Genomic DNA, 27,834 nt, shown 5'->3' with positions numbered 1-27,834 from the left:
CAGAGTATTCTTACATGGAAACTTAAGAAATATATGGTGAGTGTAGAAAATAGAACGTATATTCCAACTATACTGTTGAAGTGCCAATGTCGGAACAATAGGCCAAACTAAAAAAGAACAGTGAGTTTATGTGGGTATAACACAAACAAACATAAATATTTAAAAATATATTATCTCTTATGGCAATAAAGATGAATGACTCAGTGGCAAGTTCAAGAATCTTATACCCAAAGTAATAAATAACACAGGTATAGCTGAGGGCAGCAGAGCTTTCCCATAATTCTACTGAGAAGGAATGGGTTATCAGATGGGACAGGTATGAATGACTGTAACTATAGCCATTTAAAACAATTACATGAAGAGTCAAACAAAAGATAAATAGAAATAAAAAATGTCTAATCTACAAAATTAAAACATAAATTAATAAAGCATACTGACAAGTAAGATGTAAAACTGAAGACGTTCCCAGCAGAAAAGTTCTTGAGGTAAACCTCACCATTTTTGGCTACTTCTGCTATGATGTTAGCTACTTTGGCTTTGCAGGAAGACTGTGGAGTCAACAGACTTGCAAACAGCTGAAGTATTCCACTTGCTTGGATTTTTTCACTTGTTTCCGTATCTAAAAGAGATACATACAAAGAGCTTCAGTGAAAATCTTTAATGCTAACACTGACAACCATTATCTACAATAAATTCTTCAAGAATTTTTCCCACCCATAATAGAAATTAGTTTCGGTATACATTCAAATATATGTCTTTATACAAAATTACCTTCTGCTCCACAAGCTGCTTTTATTTTGAGTTTTAATCGGCACAAAACACTTGATAATATAATATTTTGTTTATTTACAGTCAGACTATAAAGAAGTTCTTTCTGAATATATCATTTGCATACCAAACTTACTCTCAATGTTAGTTCTAACCCTGTCTATTCAGAATATAAATGCTTTTTTTCTACATCTCTTCTGAATTCTAAGAGCTATCACTTTATATAAACTCTATGGTTCCCTATAATGCCATAGCAACTTTAAAAAATGGCAATTAGGCAAAAAACTCACCTCCTATCATTTTATACGGAATGAAAAGTGATAGTCAAGGGATTACATGGTTCCTATGACTCCTATGTTTTTCATGCAACTCATTCACATCACCATTAATGAAGAAGAGAAATAGTACACTGCAAAAACCCATAGTATTCTGAACTCTATTTGGTGATACAGAAATTCAAGAGGCCCCCACTTCTTTCCTTTCCTTGTTAAAATACAAATAATGGGCCTATAAAAACAAGCTACTTCATGTATGTTACTGAAAGAATGACCTATTAAAATATGTTAAAAATAAAGAAAAGCTCAAAGAAATAAAATTATTATTTGTGAACAATGAAGAGAAATGGCATGTGTTTAAAGCTAGAGGTTATAAGGCTCATTAAAACATTCAATTGAAATTTGTTTCTATATGTAGCTCCTCTATGTCCTTTAGATTCTTGGATATACATACAAATAATAGAGAACCCTAAAAATTTCTTGTTAACTAAATGGCAGCTGATGTGATCAGTAAAGAGGAGGAAAATCATTTTTTATAATTTGAGAAAGTCCACAAAAAAGTACGTAACATATTTCTTTATAATAAGTGCTGATTGTTTAATACAGTTTTTCAAACTGTGGGTCCCAATCCATTATGAGCGCTAAAATCTACTTGGGGAATGAAGACTAGAAACTGGTTAAAATAAAAGAATTAACAACATCTACAACAAAAAAGAAGAGAAAAATATTGCACATGGTAAGGTCAAACATTATGATTGAAATTTTGGTTTGAATTATGTATATGCATATGCATATGTGCCTGTAAGTATATATGTACTGTATGTAAAATGTATTTCCAATCATGGGTTTGAGGAAAGTGAAAAACCACTGCTCCTTGTACCCCTTGACTACCAGGATTTGGAGTTAAGGAATGATAACACTCCAGTTTATTTTACTGGACTAAAAAGTAAGTTTTTAAGGAACCACGTGAAAATGTGACACCTAAGATTTTTTTTTTTTTAAGCAAAAAGCCATAAAGAACTAAACTTAATTTGCCATGTTAAAATCTTTCCTTTTCTGACCATTGCTACCAGAAGAAATATAACCTTAGAACACTGGGTCATACTGCCCCAGGGGTCTAGCCCCACCATCTGCTGGTACTGGGATGACAGCAAGAGTCTGGCATAAGGCATGAATCATGATTAGATATGAAGCCGAAGCATTTGTTATGTGTGGAGGCGAGCAGTTAACTGCAAATCACCCATGCATGTCTCATTTAACTGTAACTAAAAGAGTGGCTTAATATCATAGTGGAATGTCAGGGGCAAGGGGAAAACAAAACAAAACAATGCTAACTCTTGCACTCCAATGACACTTTCCACAGATTAAATCCAGTGAACTGGGAGAATAGCTGTACTAAACAGGAATCCAGAATTTGAAAATAGTATTTTCACTGCTATTGTCAAAGAAATAAAAGGGAAAAACATAACCTGGTTTTTCACATAAATCTGATTTACGATTTAGAAAAATCTAACAGGAATTATTTTTACCTGCTAGCATGTAGATTTCTATATAGGTTTAGAATGTAAACGTCTGGGAACTACCATTTTTCTGTGACATAAAAAAGTAAAGAACAAATTTGTACTTTATCACTCAAACACCACTGTCCAATAAATAACTACAAAGTGTATTTTTTTATTTTTTAAACTTTTATTTTAGGTTTAGGGTACATGGGTAGGTTTCTTATATAGGTAAATTGCATGTCATGGGGGTTTGGTGTAAAGATTATTTAGTCACTTAGGTAATAAGCATAGTACCCGATAGGTAGTTTTTCAATACTCATCTTCCTCCCACCCTCCCTCCTCAAGTAGGTCCCAGTGTCTGCTGTTCCCTTCATTGTATCCATATGTACTCAATGTTTAGCTCCCACTTTTTATATATATATTTACATATATACATATATGTGAATATATATTTTTTCTTTTTTGAGACGGAGTCTTGCTCTTTCAACTAGGCTGGAGTGAAGTGGTGTGATCTCAGCTCACTGCAAACTCTGCCTCTTGGGTTCAAGTGATTCTCATGCCTCAGCCTCCCAAGCAGCTGAGATTACAGGTGTGCACCCCAATGCCTAGCTAATTTTTGTATTTTTTAGTAGAGATGGGGTTTTGCTATGTTGGCCAGGCTGGTCTTGAACTACTGGCCTCAAGTGATCTGCCTCAAGTGATCTACCTTAAGTGCTTCCCCAAGTGCTGGGATTACAGGTGTGAGCCACCATGCCTGGCAGCTCCCACTTAAGTGAGAATGTGTGGTCTTTGATTTTTGTTTCTGTGTTAGTTTGCTTAGGATAATGACCTACAGCTTCATCCATGTTGCTGCAAAGGACATAATCTCACTCATTTTATGACTATGTAGTATTCCATGGTGTATATATACCACATTTTCTTTATCCAGTATACCATCGATGGGCTTAAGTTGATTCCATGTCTTTGTTACTGTGAATAGTGCTGCGATGTGTGTGTCTTTATCGTAGAATGATTTCTATTCCTTTGGGTACATGACCAATAATACAATTGTTGGGTAGAATGGTAGTTCTGTTTTAAGTTCTTTGTAAAATGGCCAAGCTAATTTCCACAATGGCTGAACTATTTACATTCCCACCAGCAGTGTATAAGCATTCCCTTTTCTCTGCAACCTCACCACCATCTTTTATTTTTTGACTTTTTAATAACAGCTATTCCAACTTGTAGAATGATTTCTATTCCTTTGGGTACATGCCCAATAATACAACTGTTGGGTAGAATGGTAGTTCTATTTTAAGTTCTTTGTAAAATGGCCAAGCTAATTTCCACAATGGCTGAACTATTTACATTCCCACCAGCATTGTATAAGCATTCCCTTTTCTCTGCAACCTCACCACCACCTGTTATTTTTTGACTTTTTAATAATAGCTATTCCAGCTTGTATAAACTACAAAGTTTTAACTTCATTTCATATATACTTTTTGCACTGGCATTACACTGTATCTCAAAATGTATATTGACCTGTGAACTGAGGATGTTCTCAGATATCTGTGAAAACCCTTGAAACAATTTTAAAATGGCACTAAGGAGTAGTCAGGGGTTGATGATTCCATGTCCAAATGAATGGCTACTTGTTAAAAAAAAAAATCAAAAACGATGCACTGTGATCAGAAGTCTTGTTTAAAAAAAAAAGGTAGACTCTTCACTATCTGTAGCCAGACTACTATTGACATTTTAACTACACTCCTTTTTAATGTTTGCAGGAATCAATTCAACATCTTTCTCCTCCTTCACATCTAGGTGCAGTGACAAAAATGTTTGAGAATGCCTACAAATTATAGGCAACTGGCAGTTTTTGAATTTTGAGGACCCATATAAGACGGGCAATTGCTACTTTAAAATAGTATCTGTGTGAGCTGAGGCAGGAGTCATATCCATCACAATAGCCCCTGAAGTTCTTCCAGCACTCATTCTGTCCCTGAAGCCCTATGTCCTCACTCCACCTGACCTCCTGGTAGCAAGGAGGCAGCTTAGTTATGACACTGCCAGATATAGGAAAGAAAAGGAAAATTGGGCAATCAGGCCAGAGAAACTTGGAATAAGAGTAAATCAAGAAGCCAGCCTATAATGTCATATGAGCAGAGTTTAAAGCACAACTCACACAAATCGTCAAGGTCAATACAAAGTATTACAAAGGAGGGAGTAAGGAGAATGGGAGGGAACTCATAATTTAAGGTTATAGCTTGAGAAAGGCTCAAGTTCCAAACAAAGCTGCCAAGTAAACATATTAAAATAATTGCCTTTACAGTTAAATACCAAGAGGGAATTTCCAGGTATGCTACTACAATAAACTGAATTTATGATGTTATATTATCATATAGGTTTCATGAGGATAAACTAATGAAAAGCAATTGACCAATTTATAGTAAACTCCAAGTTAAAAAAATAAAAATAATGACTGCTATTACTAAGACTCTATTAGGTTAAAAGTGTATTTGGATTAGATTGGTAATATAGCTTTAGAGTAATAAAAAACATTTTAAGTTTTACTTAGAGTTATGAGAACAATAAAAAAGTGGTAAAATAGTGGCCTAGGGATCCTTACGGCAGATTGTGAGAAGACAGGTTTTCACTGAAGGCTCAGACTTGGGATTAAGGACCACAAATATGAATCAAAGGGGGGCCATGGATATCAAGGTTTCTGGGGAATTGTATATTTCTCAAGGGGTAGATTTTAAAAATAGGGTGTAACAAAGAGACTTAGCCCTATGCTGCTTTGGGTGATCTGATCTAAACCCAAGGCTTCAATTACCAAAGAGACAAGTCCCCAATCCTCTCTCCTTTTATGCAACAGAAAACAAAGCATTTGCACTTGGGTATATGCTAAATACCTCAAATTTAACAAAATCAAAATCAAATTTACCCTCTTTCCTTTAAATTCATTTTGGTCTCTAACTCAGTGAATGGTAGGAAACCCATTTAAGCCAGAAGCCCTAGAATAATTATAAAATTTTCTCTTTTAGTAAATAGCTTCCTACCCCCACATTTAATCAGAACATAGGTCCCATAGATTCCATTTCACTATTGTCTTTTGCATCTATCTTTTTCCTTTCTACATTCATATTACTTCAAGTTCTCAGTTCAGACCCTTGTTAAATGCAATAGCCTCCTCAAGTCTCCCTAACTCCGGTTTGCCTCCCCTGCCCTGTCCGCATCTTTCATCTACAATAGTATAAGAATAAACTTCTGAAAATGCAAAGTTTATGTCATTCCTTTAAATTTTTAAGCAATCCTCCACATCTTTTCATTAAACATTCAAGCACATCCATATTTCCTAATCCTATCTCTTGATACTCCTCCATGGACATCCTACACTCTAGCCATACTAAATTACTTATAGTAATCCATACTAATCATCTTATTTCATAACTCCTTTCTGCACATGATGTTCCCTCTCTGAAATGCCACCCCCCTCACCCTACCATTTTAGCTAATTCCTACTCATTAGACTCACACTGTCCTCATTAAAAGGTACCTGACTGAAAGCTATTCAATCTTTTTAATGTTATCTGACTTCCATAAACACTGTGTCTTAATTTTTTATTAAGAGCATTTGTAAAAATTTCAAAGCTCTTTCAAACACATTAATCTCTTCATTTAAAAAGTCATCTGAGATAGGGATGATAGGTCATGTTCTTCATATTACAAATAAGGCCATATAATAAGATTACACTGGAAAAGGAATAAGAAACCAGCTTTTGTGATTTCTTCTCCAAAGCTCTTCCTACTACAACTGTCATTTAGAAGTTATATGTTGATGACTATATTTTGACCTGATTTGCCAAATCATTATGTGAAAAATATTGTTATTTAACACATTTTACAAGAGTAAGAACTAAAGTAAGACAACTGAGTGAGAAAGAGATGTATAGTATTTTGGGATAGCTAAACTGAGGCAGTGATTAAATGAGAGAAAAGCAACTGCATATACAAAGAATGAAGCAGGCTGAAACAGACTGAAGGACGGGTGCAGTGGCTCACACCTGTAATCTCAGCACTTTGGGAGGCCAAGGTGGGCGGATCAGTTGAGGCCAGGAGTTGGAGGCAAGCCTGGCCAACATGGTGAAACCTCATCTCTACTAAAAATACAAAAATTAGCTGGGCATGGTGGTGGATGCCTGTAATCCCAGCTACTCGGGAGGCTGAGGCATAAGAATCGCTTGAACCTGGGAGGCAGAGTTTGCAGTGAGCTGAGATCATGCCACTGCACTCTAGCCTGGGCAACAAAGCGAGACTCTGCCTCAAGAAAAAACAAAAACAAAACAAAACAAAACAAAAAAAACCCAGAATGAAAACACAGAAGAGAAATATGCTGAATATAAGTAGCTTAATGTAAGGGCCAGAAAAATGAGAAATTAATGTTTCTAAAAGAAAATGAAAGTGTTTGCAGTGGAGGTGGCAGGGATGGGAATAAAAAAAAATGGCAATTCTTTCACTGACGACAAGAAAGTGAATTCTTTCACTTTCTTCCCCTAGTGAAGAAAACTGATTGAGGATCTTAAATAAACAAAAGGAACATGAAATGCAAGAGTTTAAAAAAAGGATATATGAAGTCATGAAAAGAAAGATAGCAGAACAAAAACCCATTTATACCGTGATTCACCATCAGAAACAGATCTCACTAAAAAACTAAGTTGTGAGACTCATTTTATAAAATTACAGTAAATGATTTTGATAGTCTTGTACTCATTTCAATTCCAGGGATAATGTAGGATGTGGGAGTGGGAGAAGTTATGTGTGTGGAAATCATCACTAGAATAAGCAGGGAGATCTGCTAGTTTGACTATTTTCTTTAAAATTACCACTAAGTAGGTCATAAAGCAGTTGCTAAAAAATTTAAGAGTTACATGGTTAAAAAATAAGATATATTTATTGAGAATGTAAACACCATGAGGAAATGTGTTAATGACTGTGGTATAAGCAGAGTATATAACTAGATTGTTCACCAAGAAGTTGAATTACTGAAGATATGAATATTTACCTATAAGAAATACAGATTTCTTACTGCAGACTAAGAGAATGAGGACACAATAAAACATAGTGAAAAAATATTTTCAGCAAAAGATCTATCTCCATTCTATTGTCAGATACCCTGGGGGAAAATATGAAGTAAATAAAGATAAAGAGATTTAGCATCTGCAAGATTTTTTGAAGTCGTCAATTTGCTAATGTTTACTGTGAGCCAATAGGAGTATACACTGTTTATCAAGTAAGTCACTTCTTAATAGGGCATCTAAGAAAATGAGTAATCCAAGGAATCTATTTAAGGAAATACTACTTTATACAAGTATGATATAAAATTTACTCCACTTTCCCAGGAAAATAAAACAACAGAAAGGTACACAGAAAAGTTAAAAAAAAAAAAAAGGTAAGAAGTCACTTAAAATCAACATTAATCTTGGCCAAAGGAAAGAGTGAAGTGGCTCACAGTATCATCTTAAAAGACAACTATCACTACGGTCTAGCATTCTAAAAGAACATTATATAGTCATTAATAATATCATTTTAAAAGAATATTTAATATGATAAACATTCAAAGATAAGTTTTTTTAAAAAGAAGCTACATTTATGTGAAATAATTCAAACTTGTAAAATAAAAAAAAAACTTTTTCATATTTTCCACATTCTATACAATTTGAAAGTTGTCCAAATCAAAATGGAGTCACCTGTGTTTAAAAACAAACAAACAAACAACCCTAATAGAGCCAGAAAAGGTCATGAAGAGAGTGTTCTCATGCATAAATCCCTGATAACAAAAACTATCACAGAAGACTGCAAAAACCACAAAGACCATCACAAACTTACAACCTCAGTGAGGACATCTGCCCAGCAACTGCATGACCAACCTGAGACTGGCCTCACTCTTATTATTGATCCTTGTAGCCTGATGGACACAGAATGATTAATTAAAAGCCAGTAGGACAGTCACCAGCACCTAAAACAACAGTCCTGACATACCCTGACAGAATTTATGGGATTTTCCGTACTTTTGAGAGATTAATAAGAAAAGGAATGGAATTCTCAAACATTAAGGCATGTCAGGTTCTAGGGGACTTCAGCAGGCTACATCTTATGGCCTATTCTCATTTTTTAACTGATGGACCAAGTATATCGAGGAAAATCCAGAGCTCAAACAGTCATTATTCAAACTCTCTTTTTAAAAAAACAAAAAACCTGCAAATATTAAGCTGACATGTAAAGCCTTCTACCTTCCCCATCTCTTTTTTTTTTTTTTTTTGCTTACTTTGATTCTGCTGATTTTCCTACTGGTGTTGATATAAAACTCACTGCTTATGGAATTCCAGCCAAGATTAAAAAAAAAAAAGTATTAAAGGACTTTCAAATTAATAGCTTTACAAAGTATAACAGCTCGATGACAACTAACGACTTAAGTATCTTTTGGAAATGTAAATTTAGGTTTGCCTGACTAACAATTGCTTAGGGTAAAGAAACAGTTAACTGAAGGATTCATAGTCTAAAAGAAAAAGAACTATATAGTGCTCACAAAAGTTAGGATCTCAGATCAAACACTTGAAAGTCTTGAGCTCAAAGAAACAATATAAAGTATCTCTGTCTAGCATAAAAATTCCTTTTTCTGCCATGCGGGGGTGAAAAACAAAAAACCAAAAACACACTAAACGATTTCCCTGCTACGCTGACTAGTCAAGCAAATCAGACTGGCAAACAAAAGATAGACTTGTTACCGAAAATTCAATGCCACTTAGAAATTTTGTTTTTCTCATACAATTCAGCCAGTCCTAGCTAAAAATGTAAACATTGAATATTTAACCCTAAACTCATGTGAAACTGAGTCAAAGGTGGGGGAAGGGTAAAAGAGGTTTTTTTTGTTTTTTTAAACTGCTATAGAAACAGTTTTACCCCAAAATTTTTGTGTGTATGTATATATGCTTAGGTGTGTTTATGCACATGCACATATTTTATGTTGTATGTTATGTCTACATAGTAAAATCTGATGTACTTGGCCAGAAATCCCTTAAGGAATTCTATTCAGATTGGCTTAAATAAATGAGCGCTTACATGAAATACATAGTAATTAAGCCAAATGTCTTTTAGTTCACGTGACTTAAAAAAACTTTGATAAATAAGCTGGTTTTAAAACTTAATAAAAATGTATTCAAAATTATCAGCATACATTTTTGCCTAAGTTTACTGGTCAGACAGGATTATATTTGTCTCTGCTAGATGTTTTAAGGCCATAACACTATAAACCCAACCTAAAACAGAATAATCTTTGTTGGTATAATTCTTTGGTAAGACTAATGTAACACTGTTTAGTTTAATAAAAACAGCTGTGTGTTCTGAGTTATTGGCAAAATACCAATATATTTTAGTTTCTTACTTAGGTGAATGCCTGATATTCAGTCTATATAAATGGTTAAAAGAAAAATAACTTGAAATGATGACTAGTTTTACCCAGTATCTCAACTTTCATAAGTAATCTAGGTATAATTGTTAAAGATAAACCAGGTAAATGTAGGCAGGATAAATGTTTACCCATGAACTTTTCAGGCAATCTAAATTCCCACTGTTATGTTAAATTAAGTAATAGATATTCATTAAATGTCTGGGTCTTTCCAATTAAGATTCTTAAAAAACATTAAAACATAAATTGCTGAACATAATTGTAAGTTTGCTCTTAGCTTCTTAAATTTTATAAAAAGCCTAAATATGTTTGGGTCTATTTTTAACATAAAAATTATGGGGAAACATTTTCTGAAATTACAAAATGATTCTCATCTATAAAAGTACTGATATACAATGAACAGTTCAAAATTTCTTGCTTCCTATGTTTTCACTAAAAATTGTTACTAAGAATTAAAATTCTAATATATATAATTTTGTAAACAAAGTACACAAAAATGTGTTTTCGATGAAAGCATAAAAATGTATTCGCTATTGAGATAATCATTTTGTCTAATTCAGAGGTTAAAGGTTGTTTCAAAATATGATTTAAGAAGGAAATAAGAAAAGGAACCAATAAGTAAAATAAGTAGGAAAGAGAGATATTAAAAAAATTACAGGTATGAAATTGTATTTTTGGTAAGAAAGGTTAAAAAGAAAAAGAGAATAATTTTGTATGAGAAAGAATCTTGTGGTAAATTTTCAACCTAAAGATGGTGCGTTATTTAAGAAAGAGGACATATAGGACAAAACAAAAAGTCTAAGCATGTTGTCAAAGGTCTATGCAGCTCACGAAAGGTTTGAGAAAGATGAATTTAGGAAAGAAATTGTGTGTGATCAAGTTGGCTATAATTAGAAGGGAATTATTTACAAGTCTTTCTAAAGATTGAGCTTTGATACTAAAAATACACTGATACAAAACTAAAAATTTGGTCCCCTGTGTTAGAACAAGGTTTTCTTGGAAGTACTGAGATTTTGATTTTTAATTCTAAAATCTCTTAGCCATCTTCTAACAGATTCCATCTAATTTCCCTAGTTTCAAGTTGGAAATGCTGTCTTTTTCATTTAGAATGGTAATTTCATTTCTTGAGGTATAGTTTTCCTCTTAAAGCTTCTCATATTCATAGCTCAGAAGTTTAAATTCTGCTGTGTCTCACTGCACATGATTTGCAGGTCATGCATCATTGCCTTCTGCTCTCCTCCTTTCTCCTCTTGAAAAATACATCTTTTTGTTTAGCTGGGACAATAACTGGGACTCTCTCTTTTTAACTTTTTCATCAGTTCCTTTTTTCTCCAGTTCTAACTCTGTTTTTGTGACCTGAAACTGAAATGTTCTGTCTTGAAGGACTAGAAAAGCAATGTTTCCTAGTAAAACTTGATTCTGCACTCTTGTCTTGTCCTGATGTATCTCAATTATTCCATGTAACCAGGAAATTTCTCAGGCTGCTGCTAAGATCCACGTGTTCCCCTGCTCAAGGTACTAATTTTATTGTTTACATTCCTCTATAATAAGGTGTAGAGTCATAACCTTAGACACACTTCTCCTTTGTCTGATTAACCTGAAGTACCTTTTTCATCAGGTTCAACTTCCAGGCTATCTAAATGGGTTTACCATAAGAAGAAGCAATTACACTGCAGAAAAATTCTCTTTACCTTTTTGGTAACTGGCCAAAGAAACAAAGACTTTGCATTTTATCAAGATAACTTCATGTGGTCTTTATTAGATTTTTGATTGGTTGGGGAAACTGAGCTTTGTAAGGGTTAAGATTTTTAAAATCCATGTAACTTTCTGTATTGCTTTTGAAGTCTTTTGATTATTACTCTGGTTAAAATAAATAATAATAATAAAAAAGACTGATTTCACAGTGACCTGTGCTACTGTTTTGTTCAAGTGTTTTGAACCTTTTGACATCTTTGGCAGGCTTTCCCAAGCTCAAAATTCTAAATTAAGATTTTTTGACCTAGAATTAACTTTGGGATTTCCCCACTGGGCTCCTAGAGAGCATCAAAGAATGTATCTCTCATCTTGTAGAGATATTAAGTGATTAGGGTTATTGGATAAATTGAATAAGAAACATTGTCAAATGGTAGGTGATACTAGATCTTTCAGTTACATGTATGTGTATGTTACAGATAATGAATGTTCCAAAATTATATAAAATGCAGAAATCTAATGTAATCAGTCAGAATTCTAGATAATATGTCATATGCCACAAATATAACTAAATTTTCTTGTCAATTGTTGATAATAAACTTCCATTGGATTTTTAACCATAGCCACTCTTAAGTCTCTGACATCCACAGTTACTGTTTTGAATTTTTATAAAAGTATTTACCTTCTCCCTCTCCCTCTCTCTCTCCCTCTCCCTCTCTCTCTCCCTCTCCCTCTCCGTGGTCTCTGTCTCCCGCTTTCCACGGTCTCCCCCTCTCCTTCGTCTCCGTCTCCCGCTTTCCATGGTCTCCCTCTGTTGCCGAGGCTGGACTGTACTGCCGTGATCTCGGCTCACTGCAACCTCCCTGCCTGATTCTCCTGCCTCAGCCTGCCGAGTGCCTGGGATTGCAGGCACATGCCGCCACGCCTGACTGGTTTTTGTATTTTTTGGTGGAGACGGGGTTTTGCCCTGTTGGCGGGGCTGGTCTCCAGCTCCTGACCTCGAGTATCTGCCCGCCTTGGCCTCCCGAGGTGCTGGGATTGCAGACGGAGTCTCGCTCACTCAGTGCTCAATGTTGCCCAGGCTGGAGTGCAGTGGCGTGATCTCGGCTCGCTACAACCTCCACCTCCCAGCCGCCTGCCTTGGCTTCCCAAAGTGCTGAGATTGCAGCCTCTGCCCAGCTGCCAGCCCATCTAGGAAGTGAGGAGCATCTCTGCCTGGCCGCCCATCGTCTGGGATGTGAGGAGCCCCTCTGCCCGGCCACCCAGTCTGGGAAGTGAGGAGCGCTTCTTCCCAGCCACCACCCCATCTAGGAAGTGAGGAGTGTCTCTGCCTGGCCGCCCATCGTCTGGGATGTGAGGAGCCCCTCTGCCCAGCCACCCAGTCTGGGAAGTGAGGAGCGCCTCTTCCCGGCCGTCATCCCGTCTAGGAAGTGAGGAGCGTCTCTGCCCGGCCGCCCATCGTCTGGGATGTGGGGAGCGCCTCTGCCCGGCCGCCCCGTCTGGGATGTGAGGAGCGCCTCTGTCCGGCCGCCCCGTCTGGGAGGTGAGGAGCGCCTTTACCCGGCCACCACCCCGTCTGGGAGGTGAGGAGCGCCTCTGCCCAGCCGCCACCCCGTCTGGGAAGTGAGGAGTGCCTCTGCCCGGCCGCGACCCCATCTGGGAACTGAGGAGTGCCTCTGCCCGGCCGCCCCGTGTGAGAAGTGAGGAGCCCCTCTGCCCGGCCGCCACCCCGTCTGGGAGGTGTACCCAACAGCTCATTGAGAACGGGCCATGATGACGATACCGGTTTTGTCGAATAGAAAAGGGGGAAATGTGGGGAAAAGAAAGAGAGATCAGATTGTTACTGTGTCTGTGTAGAAAGAAGTAGACATAGGAGACTCCATTTTGTTCTGTACTAAGAAAAATTCTTCTGCCTTGGGATGCTGTTAATCTATAACCTTATCCCCAACCCTGTGCTTTCTGAAACATGTGCTGTGTCAACTCAGGGTTAAATGGATTAAGGGCAGTGCAGGATGTGCTGCCTAGGAAAACCAGAGACCTTTGTTCACATGTTTATCTGCTGACCTTCTCTCCACTATTGTCCTATGACCCTGCCAAATCCCCCTCTCCGAGAAACACCCAAGAATGATCAATAAATACTAAAAAAATTTAAAAAAAAGAGGAGAATATAAGGAAATATATATGTATCTGGTCACTTGTGCACAATAAATACTGGAATAAAAAACAAGTATTTACAATCAGATTAACAGAAAAGGCCCTAATGGGCACTTTTTTTTTTTTTTTTTTTTTTTGAGATGGAGTCTCACACTGTCACCCGGGCTGGAATGCAATGGCATGATCTTGGCTCACTGCAACCTCTGCCTCCTGGGTTCAAGTGATTCTCCTGCCTCAGCCTCCCGAGTAGCTGGGATTACAGGTGTCTGCCACCATGCCCAGCTAATTTTTTGTATTTTTAGTAGAGATGAGGTTTCACTATGTTGGCCAGGCTGGTCTCGAACTTCTGACCTCGTGATCTGCCTGCCTTGGCCTCCCAAAGTGTTGGGATTACAGGCATGAGCCACCACACCTTGCCCTAATGGGTCCTTTTAAATGCAGGTTTCTAATAACTTTAAGATTAATGGACTAAATCTTTTTTTTCTAGAACACTAATAAACTGATGGGTTCAAAAGACTGTTAAGATGAAGCAAAAATAAAACAGATGAGATTAAATAAATGATAAAGATAATGTTTCCATGACTTTTATATGAAACACTATTAGTTATTTACTTAAATGTTCTGTTTTCCAGATTTAAGGAAACTTTCTCTTTAGGCAATTTAATAAAGTATACTTTTATGAACAAAGGTAGAAATAGTTGCATTTTCTCCTTATTTGACTGCCCCCCCAATTCAAAAATTATTTGTGAGTATTCTTATGGCAATATGGTTAACTGAAAGGTTCAATAAAAATCTATTGTTTTTCTATCAAGATACAATAAAATACACTGGTTGTGTTACCAAGGCTTTGACTGAAATATCATATTTGAGAATGTGCATACGATGCTTGGTTTCAAGGGTTCCCAGCCTCACAGTGAGTGAGTAAAAAGTGTCACTTCCCACAAGCTCAGGAACCTTAAGAGTGTAGGTAAAATCTAAAATCTGCCTTGGTTTGGCTTTGCAGCCTTAAGAGTTTTTAAATCTGGGAATACCGTGTGATCAAATCACTTCTTACAGGCAATTATTGATAAAACTTATTTTACAAACAAGTTTGTCTTACTCTGATTATCTTTGATAAAAATCAGGATGACTTGGAGAATCACTTGAACCCAGGACGTGGAGGTTGCAGTGAGCTCAGATCGCACCAGTGCACTCCAGCCTGGGCAACAGAGAGAGACTCTGTCTCAAAAAATTAAATAAATAAATCACGATGACTATACAGAGAAAGTTATGTTTATTAAAAAAAACTATAAAACACATCCTTATTAGATTGTAGCTCTGTGCATTGTTTTAAAATAGTTCTTATCTACCTGTAGACTAGAACGAATCCTAAATTTTCCTAAAGCTTTATAAACTGAAACTAGATGGATCTGAAGGAACAAGTCCTGGGCCTGATGTACGAATCACACGGAAAGTTCACCAAACCACCCGATGCCCTAACTAGAGACATTCAAACTGCAAACCAAGACAAGGAGGTGACATTTTTACATGGTAGACGGTTTTTCCCAAGGTGTTGGAACAAGACTTTTATATAATAGTAAGACTCTTACGCACCTCAATGCTACTTTTTTTCACTTGATAGGAGAATGCCATAACTGAAATTTAACAATCAGTGGCTTCTGCTGGTAGTTTGAAAGAATGAAACCTAAGAGATCTTTTTGTATCAACTGGTTAAATAAGAAAATGCCTGTGCTATTGCTAATACCACATGCTGTAACTGGATAAATTCCTATGGGAAAGTTGAGACCCCATATACATAAAATAAGAAAACAGGCCACATGGTTACAATAGGTCTCACCAAATTCTCTATGGCCACTGGAATTATTTAATTAGTTGTCTTTACGCTAGGTTTCATGGCTCAAAACCATTATGCAAACTGGGATTGCCATATTATTATGAATTTTACTTTGTATTTTCCTTTCTTAAACTTTGTATCTGTTACTTGTTAAATTTTTGCAGAAGTACAACTCCTAACAAAATAATACTAGCTCAGCACTTTGAGATGACAGCAAGCACCTACAAAACAGAGAAAATTAAACTTAATGATGGTCTCCAGATAGGCTTAGACCAAGAACCACTCACCTTCAATCTCCCTTGTTGCTCAAATGTGGCTAGAAAAATTTTAACACTGATTCCTGGTCACCAATCACCCTCTCCAATGTGGGACCAAACCAGTCCATCCCAGCACCAAGGGACAATCAAAACCTAATTACAGGAAGACTGATCATCAATGCCTTCAGAGAAAGATCTTGATCAAAAGGGAGAAAATTAAAGCTGTTGAAATCAAGAGTCACTCGTGTTAAAAACAAAAACAAAAAAATCCTAACAAACAGAGTCAGGAAAGGCTATGAAAATAGGGTTCTCATGAATAAATGCCTGACAAAAACTATCACAAAACATTCTTCAAAAACTACAACCTTACACAAAGGCTGTCACAACCTTACACAAAAAATACTTCTGGAAAGACATCTGCCCAGCAACTGTCTGTCCAACCTCAGACCAGTGTGATCCTTGTAGCCAAGGATAATTATCTCAAAACAATTATGTAATCCTTCTCATTTTTTTCTATTAAAAACCTTTGTTTTCCTGTACTTCCCTGAAACATGCATAGTTTATCATGGCACATGTATTCCCATGGCAATGCCCTATTCCTAAATATCATTTCTGTTAAGAGAGCCTCTCTCTGTTATTTAGGCTGACCAACAATATGCTTACTGTACTTTAGATTTTTAAAAAAATGTTACAATTTGTATATATCAGTTAGGATATACTGGAAGTAATAGAAACTACTGTACTGTACTCCAGTAGAAGAATTTATCAGCTCAGAGATCACATCATTGTAAAGTCTGGAAGTAGAATGAGCTTCATAAACAGGTTAATCAAGGCTCCTGCTTCATTTCTCTGAGATCTCCTCAACTTTCTCCTCGTCTGTGTGTGGCACTGTCATCAGACTAGCTTGTATCAGAGTAGAAAAACGACTATACTAATTCTAGCTCTTACAGGCACACACCACACAATTCAGAGCAACACAAAAGTCTTTTCTTCCACCTACCTTCCAAAAAAGAAAAAGAGACCAAAATCACCATGGCTCACATGACTAAAACTAATCTGTAGGATTAATAATGAATCCTGTAACCTAGTGAGTGGAGCTGAGGGTCATCTCACTCTAATCTTATAACTTCCCCAAAGGAGAAGGGTTGTGAAGCAAGAAAAGGAAGGGAAATGGGTGCTGGAGCTGAGGAGGGAAAGAATTTAAGCATTAATAAAGAAAAAATAAATAAATGTAGAAACACAGGGCATAAAAGAAACAGAAGTGATTAAGATCTGTAGTGAAAAAGAAAGCAAATCCAAATAGAATCATGTTGGCTTAAATAAAGCCAAAATGTTTTTAAAGTTTAATGGGAATAAATCACAATTTCCTTTCAAGTATAATCCTAGAAAGAAAAGAAATTCAGCAGTTATCGAATGAGGTTCAAGAAAGGGGTTGAGAATGGGGAAGAAAAAAGGGAGATATTGCTGACCAAGTAGAAATTTGATATTAATTACCCAAAGGTTAAAAGATGGCCTAATGCTGAAATGACAATGAATAATTTTATGTAACTTTTGGTAGAGGTTTTTGATTTATTGGGGAAGATGGCTAAGATATTGGCTGCGTTAACTATGAAATATTTTGAGGAAATTCAATATTTAAAAAGCATATGTTTGGAAGAGGGAAGAATTAAGTTCTATTCTGAGAAATGAATGAAAGAAATATCAAACCAAAGCACTTTAAAAAAAAGTAATATGCAAGACTGTCGGAGAAAACTGTGATTGTTACTGAACAGATGAGACACTTTGAGAAAAGATAAACAATTATTCATTTTTGTTTAAGACATCAGGAGTACTAATAAAGAACCAACTGGTAAACTGCTGATAATTCCATATAATATATCTAGCACTACAACTACACTGAATCTTTTTTTTTTTAATACTTTAAGTTTTAGGGTACATGTGCATATTGTGCACGTTAGTTACATATGTATACATGTGCCATGCTGGTGCGCTGCACCCACTAACTCGTCATCTAGCATTAGGTATATCGCCCAATGCTATCCCTCCCCCCTCCCCCCACCCCACCACAGTCCCCAGAGTGTGATATTCCCCTTCCTGTGTCCATGTGATCTCATTGTTCAATTCCCACCTATGAGTGAGAATATTCGGTGTTTGGTTTTTTGTTCTTGCGATAGTTTACTGAGAATGATGATTTCCAATTTCATCCATGTCCCTACAAAGGACATGAACTCATCATTTTTTATGGCTGCATAGTATTCCATGGTGTATATGTGCCACATTTTCTTAATCCAGTCTATCACTGTTGGACATTTGGGTTGGTTCCAAGTCTTTGCTATTGTGAATAATGCCACAATAAACATACATGTGCATGTGTCTTTATAGCAGCATGATTTATAGTCATTTGGGTATATACCCAGTAATGGGATGGCTGGGTCAAATGGTATTTCTAGTTCTAGATCCCTGAGGAATCGCCACACTGACTTCCACAATGGTTGACCTAGTTTACAGTCCCACCAACAGTGTAAAAGTGTTCCTATTTCTCCACATCCTCTCCAGCACCTGTTGTTTCCTGACTTTTTAATGATTGCCATTCTAACTGGTGTGAGATGATATCTCATAGTGGTTTTGATTTGCATTTCTCTGATGGCCAGTGATGGTGAGCATTTTTTCATGTGTTTTTTGGCTGCATAAATGTCTTCTTTTGAGAAGTGTCTGTTCATGTCCTTCGCCCACTTTTTGATGGGGTTGTTTGTCTTTTTCTTGTAAATTTGTTTGAGTTCATTGTAGATTCTGGATATTAGCCCTTTGTCAGATGAGTAGGTTGCGAAAATTTTCTCCCATTTTGTAGGTTGCCTGTTCACTCTGATGGTAGTTTCTTTTGCTGTGCAGAAGCTCTTTAGTTTTATGAGATCCCATTTGTCAATTTTGGCTTTTGTTGCCATTGCTTTTGGTGTTTTGGACATGAAGTCCTTGCCCACGCTTATGTACTGAATGGTAATGCCTAGGTTTTCTTCTAGGGTTTTTATGGTTTTAGGTCTAACGTTTAAATCTTTAATCCATCTTGAATTGATTTTTGTATAAGGTGTAAGGAAGGGATCCAGTTTCAGCTTTCTACATATGGCTAGCCAGTTTTCCCAGCACCATTTATTAAATAGGGAATCCTTTCCCCATTGCTTGTTTTTCTCAGGTTTGTCAAAGATCAGATAGTTGTAGGTATGCGGCGTTATTTCTGAGGGCTCTGTTCTGTTCCATTGATCTATATCTCTGTTTTGGTACCAGTACCATGCTGTTTTGGTTACTGTAGCCTTGTAGTATAGTTTGAAGTCAGGTAGTGTGATGTCTCCAGCTTTGTTCTTTTGGCTTAGGATTGACTTGGCGATGCGGGCTCTTTCTTGGTTCCATATGAACTTTAAAGTAGTTTTTTCCAATTCTGTGAAGAAAGTCATTGGTAGCTTTATGGGGATGCCATTGAATCTGTAAATTACCTTGGGTAGTACGGCCATTTTCACGATATTGATTCTTCCTACCCATGAGCATGGAATGTTCTTCCATTTGTTTGTGTCCTCTTTTATTTCCTTGAGCAGTGGTTTGTAGTTCTCCTTGAAGAGGTCCTTCACATCCCTTGTAAGTTGGATTCCTAGGTATTTTATTCTCTTTGAAGCAATTGTGAATGGGAGTTCACTCATGATTTGGCTCTCTGTTTGTCTGTTGTTGGTGTATAAGAATGCTTGTGATTTTTGTACATTGATTTTGTATCCTGAGACTTTGAAGTTGCTTATCAGCTTAAGGAGATTTTGGGCTGAGACGATGGGGTTTTCTAGATAAACAATCATGTCGTCTGCAAACAGGGACAATTTGACTTCCTCTTTTCCTAATTGAATACCCTTTATTTCCTTCTCCTGCCTGATTGCCCTGGCCAGAACTTCCAACACTATGTTGAATAGGAGTGGTGAGAGAGGGCATCCCTGTCTTGTGCCAGTTTTCAAAGGGAATGCTTCCAGTTTTTGCCCATTCAGTATGATATTGGCTGTGGGTTTGTCATAGATAGCTCTTATTATTTTAAAATACCTCCCATCAATACCTAATTTATTGAGAGTTTTTAGCATGAAGGGTTGTTGAATTTTGTCAAAGGCTTTTTCTGCATCTATTGAGATAATCATGTGGTTTTTGTCTTTGGCTCTGTTTATATGCTGGATTACATTTATTGATTTGCGTATATTGAACCAGCCTTGCATCCCAGGGATGAAGCCCACTTGATCATGGTGGATAAGCTTTTTGATGTGCTACTGGATTCGGTTTGCCAGTATTTTATTGAGGATTTTTGCATCAATGTTCATCAAGGATATTGGTCTAAAATTCTCTTTTTTGGTTGTGTCTCTGCCCGGCTTTGGTATCAGAATGATGCTGGCCTCATAAAATGAGTTAGGGAGGATTCCCTCTTTTTCTATTGATTGGAATAGTTTCAGAAGGAATGGTACCAGTTCCTCCTTGTACCTCTGGTAGAATTCGGCTGCGAATCCATCTGGTCCTGGACTCTTTTTGGTTGGTAAACTATTGATTATTGCCACAATTTCAGCTCCTGTTATTGGTCTATTCAGAGATTCAACTTCTTCCTGGTTTAGTCTTGGGAGAGTGTATGTGTCAAGGAATGTATCCATTTCTTCTAGATTTTCTAGTTTATTTGCATAGAGGTGTTTGTAGTATTCTCTGATGGTAGTTTGTATTTCTGTGGGATCGGTGGTGATATCCCCTTTATCATTTTTTATTGTGTCTACTTGATTCTTCTCTCTTTTTTTCCTTATTAGTCTTGCTAGCGGTCTATCAATTTTGTTGATCCTTTCAAAAAACCAGCTCCTGGATTCATTGACTTTTTGAAGGGTTTTTTGTGTCTCTATTTCACTTCAGTTCTGCTCTGATTTTAGTTATTTCTTGCCTTCTGCTAGCTTTTGAATGTGTTTGCTCTTGCTTTTCTAGTTCTTTTAATTGTGATGTTAGGGTGTCAATTTTGGATCTTTCCTCCTTTCTCTTGTGGGCATTTAGTGCTATAAATTTCCCTCTACACACTGCTTTGAATGCGTCCCAGAGATTCTGGTATGTTGTGTCTTTGTTCTCGTTGGTTTCAAAGAACATCTTTATTTCTGCCTTCATTTCGTTATGTACCCAGTAGTCATTCAGGAGCAGGTTGTTCAGTTTCCATGTAGTTGAGCGGCTTTGAGTGAGATTCTTAATCCTGAGTTCTAGTTTGATTGCACTGTGGTCTGAGAGATAGTTTGTTATAATTTCTGTTCTTTTACATTTGCTGAGGAGAGCTTTACTTCCAACTATGTGGTCAATTTTGGAATAGGTGTGGTGTGGTGCTGAAAAAAATGTATATTCTGCTGATTTGGGGTGGAGAGTTCTGTAGATGTCTATTAGGTCTGCTTGGTGCAGAGCTGAGTTCAATTCCTGGGTATCCTTGTTGACTTTCTGTCTCGGTGATCTGTCTAATGTTGACAGTGGGGTGTTAAAGTCTCCCATTATTAATGTGTGGGAGTCTAAGTCTCTTTGTAGGTCACTCAGGACTTGCTTTATGAATCTGGGTGCTCCTGTATTGGGTGCATATATATTTAGGATAGTTAGCTCCTCTTGTTGAATTGATCCCTTTACCATTATGTAATGGCCTTCTTTGTCTCTTTTGATCTTTGTTGGTTTAAAGTCTGTTTTATCAGAGACTAGGATTGCAATCCCTGCCTTTTTTTGTTTTCCATTTGCTTGGTAGATCTTCCTCCATCCTTTTATTTTGAGCCTATGTGTGTCTCTGCACGTGAGATGGGTTTCCTGAATACAGCACACTGATGGGTCTTGACTCTTTATCCAACTTGCCAGTCTGTGTCTTTTAATTGGAGAATTTAGTCCATTTACATTTAAAGTTAATATTGTTATGTGTGAATTTGATCCTGTCATTATGATGTTAGCTGGTGATTTTGCTCGTTAGTTGATGCAGTTTCTTCCTAGTCTCGATGGTCTTTACATTTTGGCATGATTTTGCAGCGGGTGGTACCGGTTGTTCCTTTCCATGTTTAGCGCTTCCTTCAGGAGCTCTTTTAGGGCAGGCCTGGTGGTGACAAAATCTCTCAGCATTTGCTTGTCTGTAAAGTATTTTATTTCTCCTTCACTTATGAAGCTTAGTTTGGCTGGATATGAAATTCTGGGTTGAAAATTCTTTTCTTTAAGAATGTTGAATATTGGCCCCCACTCTTCTGGCTTGTAGGGTTTCTGCCGAGAGATCCGCTGTTAGTCTGATGGGCTTCCCTTTGAGGGTAACCCGACCTTTCTCTCTGGCTGCCCTTAACATTTTTTCCTTCATTTCAACTTTGGTGAATCTGACAATTATGTGTCTTGGAGTTGCTCTTCTCGAGGAGTATCTTTGTGGCGTTCTCTGTATTTCCTGAATCTGAACGTTGGCCTGCCTTGCTAGATTGGGGAAGTTCTCCTGGATAATATCCTGCAGAGTGTTTTCCAACTTGGTTCCATTCTCCGCCTCACTTTCAGGTACACCAATCAGACGTAGATTTGGTCTTTTCACATAGTCCCATATTTCTTGGAGGCTTTGCTCATTTCTTTTTATTCTTTTTTCTCTAAACTTCCCTTCTCGCTTCATTTCATTCATTTCATCTTCCATTGCTGATATCCTTTCTTCCAGTTGATCGCATCGGCTCCTGAGGCTTCTGCATTCTTCACGTAGTTCTCGAGCCTTGGTTTTCAGCTCCATCAGCTCCTTTAAGCACTTCTCTGTATTGGTTATTCTAGTTATATATTCTTCTAAATTTTTTTCAAAGTTTTCAACTTCTTTGCCTTTGGTTTGAATGTCCTCCCGTAGCTCAGAGTAATTTGATCGTCTGAAGCCTTCTTCTCTCAGCTCGTCAAAATCATTCTCCATCCAGCTTTGTTCCGTTGCTGGTGAGGAACTGCGTTCCTTTGGAGGAGGAGAGGCGCTCTGCGTTTTAGAGTTTCCAGTTTTTCTGTTCTGTTTTTTCCCCATCTTTGTGGTTTTATCTACTTTTGGTCTTTGATGATGGTGATGTACAGATGGGTTTTTGGTGTGGATGTCCTTTCTGTTTGTTAGTTTTCCTTCTAACAGACAGGTCCCTCAGCTGCAGGTCTGTTGGAATACCCTGCCGTGTGAGGTGTCAGTGTGCCCCTGCTGGGGGGTGCCTCCCAGTTAGGCTGCTCGGGGGTCAGGGGTCAGGGACCCACTTGAGGAGGCAGTCTGCCCGTTCTCAGATCTCCAGCTGCGTGCTGGGAGAACCACTGCTCTCTTCAAAGCTCAGATGGAAATGCAGAAATCACCCGTCTTCTGCGTTGCTCACGCTGGGAGCTGTAGACCGGAGCTGTTCCTATTCGGCCATCTTGGCTCCTCCCCCCTACACTGAATCATTCTGAAAAGAGAATCACGTAACGGGGACATTTTCAAACAGCTCTTCTCCAGATACTCTGGCTACAAAAAACACAAAACCTATCAACACTAATCTAAAAAGAGAAACATACTTTAGGCCACCAAATCAACCAATAAAAATGAGTAAGTATATGTGTTGGATTTAATTATTGCTGATAAAAGAATAAATAAAGTAAGTCGAAAACCCGCAAATATCTTTTGACTCCCCCAAAACTTAACTAATAGCCTATTGCTGACCAGAAGCCTTACCCATAACAATTAACACATATTCAGTATGTTATATGTATTACATACTATATTCTTGCAGTAAAGTAAGCTACAGAAAAACAAATGTTATTAAGAAAATCATACAGAAGACAAAATATTTTACTATTCATTAAGTGGAAGTGGATCATCATAAAAGTCTTCATCCTCACGGTCTTTGCACTGAGTAGGCTGTGGAGGAAGATGAAGAGGAGGGTTTGGTCTTGCCGCCTCAGAGGTAGCAGGGATGGAAGAGGTGGAGAAGACGGAAGGAGAGGCAGGCACACTTGGTGTAACTTTTATTGAAAAGAATCTGCTTATAAGAGGACCTGTGTAGTTCAAACGCCAATTTCTCTCTTTTTTTTTTTTTTTTTTTTTGAGACATTCTCACTCTGTTGCCCAGGCTGGAGGGCAGTGGCATGATTTTGGCTCACTGAAACCTTCGCCTACCGAGTTCAAGCGATTCCTGTGCCTCAACCTCCCGAGTAGCTGGGATTATAGGTGTGCACCACCATGTTGGGCTGATTTTTGTACTTTTAGTAGAGACAGGGTTTCACCACGTTGGCCAGTCTGGTCTTGAACTCCTGACCTCAAGTGATCTGCTCACCCCGGCCTCCCAAAGTGCTGGGATTACAGGTGTGAGCCACCATGCCCAGCCACAAAACCCAATTTTCCAACAGTCAACTATAATGGCTCTTAAAATACACATGAGACTGAAAAAATATCAGTAAACCAATACATATTACATCATAAAAAGTATGAGGAAACCTATACCATATATCTTGAGAAAATTCCTTGCTTTTTCAAAGAAATATATGCTAATAAGGGAGTACGATATTATCACCATTACACATACATTTAAGTTACACTATTAATTTTGAGAGGTTAGCCACTCAAAAGAAAGTTACTAGATTCATGCAATGACTCATCATTAAATACTTAGGTAAGTGCCTAGAACATGCTAAGCAAATGGCTAACAAGACACAGACTCTGCTCTGAAAGAGTTTATAGTTTAGTAAAGGAGACAGATATGTATAGAAGCAGTTTTAATATTTTGACAAAAATTCCACAACATACTTAATGTACAGAGGCACCTAATCCATTCTAGGTTTCTATCAGTCTAACCTTCATGATGATCAGCCATGGTTCCAGAACCTCATTTCCCCCCCCAGAGAACTACAGCAGTTGCCCCTTATCAGCAGTTTTACTTTCCATAATTTCATTTCCACGGTTTTGGAAATTTTCACAGTCAACTGTGGTCTGAGAATATTAAATGGAAAGTTCTGGAAATAAACAATTTGTAAGTTTTAAATTGCATGCCGTTCTGAGTTGCATAATGAAATCTCACACTTCCATCTGATTCAGAATGTGACTCATCCCTTTGTCCTTTATCCACGCTGTATATGCTACCTGCCCATTAGTTGTTGACACAGACATCAACATTATCTGCTCCTGAACTCCAACCATCAACATCATCATGGCTCAACAGTCTCAGATCACCTGAAGCAAATGATCTTTGTCCTGACATATCCCCAGAAGGTCAATAGCAGCCTACTGCTACCTCACAATGCCTACATTATTCATCTCACTTCATCTCATCAAGAAGGTATTTTATCATCTCACATCACAAGAAGGTTAAGTACAGTACAATAAAGTATTTTGAGATGGGGAGGAGAGCGAGTACACATTCACGTAACTTTTATTACAGTATATTGTTCTAATAATATTTTATCATTAGTTATTGTTGTTACTCTTTTAACTGTGCCTAATTTAATAATTAAACTTTATCACAAGTATGTATGTACCGGAAAAAACATTGTATACAGAGGGTTCAGAACCACCCACAGTTTCAGGCATCTACTGTGGGTCTAGGAACGCATCCCCTGAGGATCTCTGTACTCTATCCTTTTGTAGGTCCCATGTTAAAATGAAAGGTATTAAGAGACTAAGCTAGACTAAGCAAGATATTTATCCAGAGTGGCTAGATTCAGTGTTCAAGAATATAGTCAGATATCACTGGACGCGGTGGCTCACGCCTGTAATCCCAACACTTTAGGAGGCCAAGGCGGGCAAATCACTTGAGATCAGGAGTTCAAGATCAGCCTGACCAACATGGTGAAACCCCGTCTCTACTAAAAATACAAAAATTAGCCGGGCGTGGTGGTGTGCACTTGTAATTCCAGCTACTGAGGAAGCTGAGGCACGAGAATCAGTTGAACCCAGGAGGCAGAGGGTTGCAGTAAGCCAAGATCACACCACTGCACTCCGGCCTGGGCGACAGAGCAAGATTCTGTCTCAAAAAAAAAAAAAGAGAAGAAAAGAAAAAAAAATATATATATATATAGTCAAATATCAGGGCTGAGGTAACAGCATAGAGCATCGCGTCTGTTAACACCACTAGGATGCTCACCAAAAAACTATCTCCCTCTCCATACCCCACACTAAGGCACGACTCCTGTGGCCACTTAAGGTTCCATGATAGCTTAGGGAATAAAGACACTTAGTGTGGCTTGCAGAATCTTTCAGATGTCAAAAACTCTTCCCACATGCAATATTTCACAATTATCTATCAGTTCAGTCTCGTCTTCAAAAACTGCATTTAGTTCTCGTGCTTCACTACATTCCCATACTTCCTCCTCCTCCAACCCTATCACCTTAACATGTGATTACCCCATGACAGTAGAAGCCAGACTGGCAATATGACCTTAGCCCCGAATTTGGAGATGTTTGTGTTCTAAAAACATATAATGTTCTTTGTAGACTGTGGGGATACAGTAATACATAGCAGCCTAACATGAGTGCGGAAAGGTTTTCAGATTGATTCTGGATTTACTAAATATCATGGCACTAGAGTAATTGCTTAGATCTCCCTAATACCTACGACAAATGCTGAAATTATAAAAATCCTACAATCTGGCATGGGGAAAGGCCAAGGCAAGATGTTCTAAGATAAGAGGGAATGCATGGTATCACAAGCTGGCCTTATTTAAATGATAAGGGTAAAAAAGTGTGATGGAGGCCCCTTAACAGTACCTAATTCAGGGGAACAAAGAGGGAAATAATATTAGTCAAACCAGAATTCACCCTCTCAAGCAGAGAGGAAAAGAAAAGATTATAATGACAAAATGGATCACAATCTCCCAAACCATATGGACAGAGCAAAGCAACTGGGAAAAGATTAACTGCACGACAGCCAATTAAAGACTTTCCCATCCCATAGCGGCATCCTTACACTGGAATTTCCCCCTCAGACCTAGTTTTGAACACTTTTTACCGTACCCTTTGAATCTCTTAAATTCAGACACTCACAAAACTCTAGCTCCTATCTTTCACTTTTAGCTAGATTATTCTCAGGAGACTTCCCTTGAAGTACTCTCATGCAGAACTTCTCAACTCTCTTTTCTTCATTTTCTACCCCAAGACCCAGGCTTGGAGCTAAAGTTGTATTTTCTTAGCTCAAAAATATCTGAGACATTTTGTCTTCTGCCTTCATTCAAAAACAGCTTCTCTCTTTTCAGCCTCTGCCATCTGGTAACATTGTATTTCCCCCATTCTCATCATTAGTACCACAACAACCCTCCAGTACACTGGAGCTTACTCCCAGTTTGCCTCTCCCCTTCAACTCCTGCCATCATCCTGAACAACTCTGAATCTACATACAGTGGTTAATAACTTGGCCTCACACTCCCTGACTTTAATAATTTCCACTGCTCTTTAACAATCCACCACAATATGACACCCAAGGCCTATCATCATAGGTAGAACTACCCTATGATTGAAAGCTTATATTTGGAAATCACTTTCTGATCAGTCTTCTCTTCTACCATGTCTTTTATACTTATTAAACATTTTTTAAACCTCATTGAAAACTCTATTCTTTCAACTCCTCCTTCTTTCCCTATCAGCCCTCTTTCCATAATTCATGTCATGCTTACCTACACTGGAAGAAAAAAAGACCAATGATTTCAACAACTCTAGTATTACTGCAGTACCCTAAACCCTATCTATTTATCTCACCTTGCTATTAAATCCTAGCACTGGATGAATCTAGCCATATACTTTGCCTGTTCCCTGATTTTAAAACAGTAAATTATGTTATTAAGTATGTTACCTGGTATCACTACAAATTCATAATTTATAATCTTAACTGGACCCTTCAACATTGTTCAGTTATCCTTTCACCCTTAGTCATTTCCCTTTCACATTTCCTAGGCCCTGGAACTCTAAAGATTT

The 27,834-nt window shown here is 37.6% G+C and overlaps 1 protein-coding gene across 11 annotated transcripts in view; it reads right to left on the bottom strand.

Moving 5' to 3' along the window:
- Window positions 1–27,834, bottom strand: part of RAP1GDS1 (Rap1 GTPase-GDP dissociation stimulator 1) — a 182,475-nt gene that overhangs the window by 100,101 nt on the left and 54,540 nt on the right. For 10 of the 11 annotated variants that reach the window (NM_001100426.2, NM_021159.5, NM_001100428.2 and 7 more), the window contains one exon: window positions 497–619. In NM_001100426.2, coding sequence (NP_001093896.1) covers window positions 497–619 — 123 coding nt within the window. Of the gene's footprint in view, window positions 1–438; window positions 620–27,834 lie in introns of those variants that run through there. The other variant, XM_024454168.2, reaches the window with a different exon arrangement.

The sequence above is a fragment of the Homo sapiens genome, chromosome 4 (genome assembly GCF_000001405.40).
Source record: "Homo sapiens chromosome 4, GRCh38.p14 Primary Assembly".
NCBI classification, from domain to species: Eukaryota; Metazoa; Chordata; class Mammalia; order Primates; family Hominidae; genus Homo; species Homo sapiens.
The sequence above is the reverse complement of the archived record's forward strand: the minus strand, read 5'-3'. Positions and strand labels throughout refer to the sequence as shown.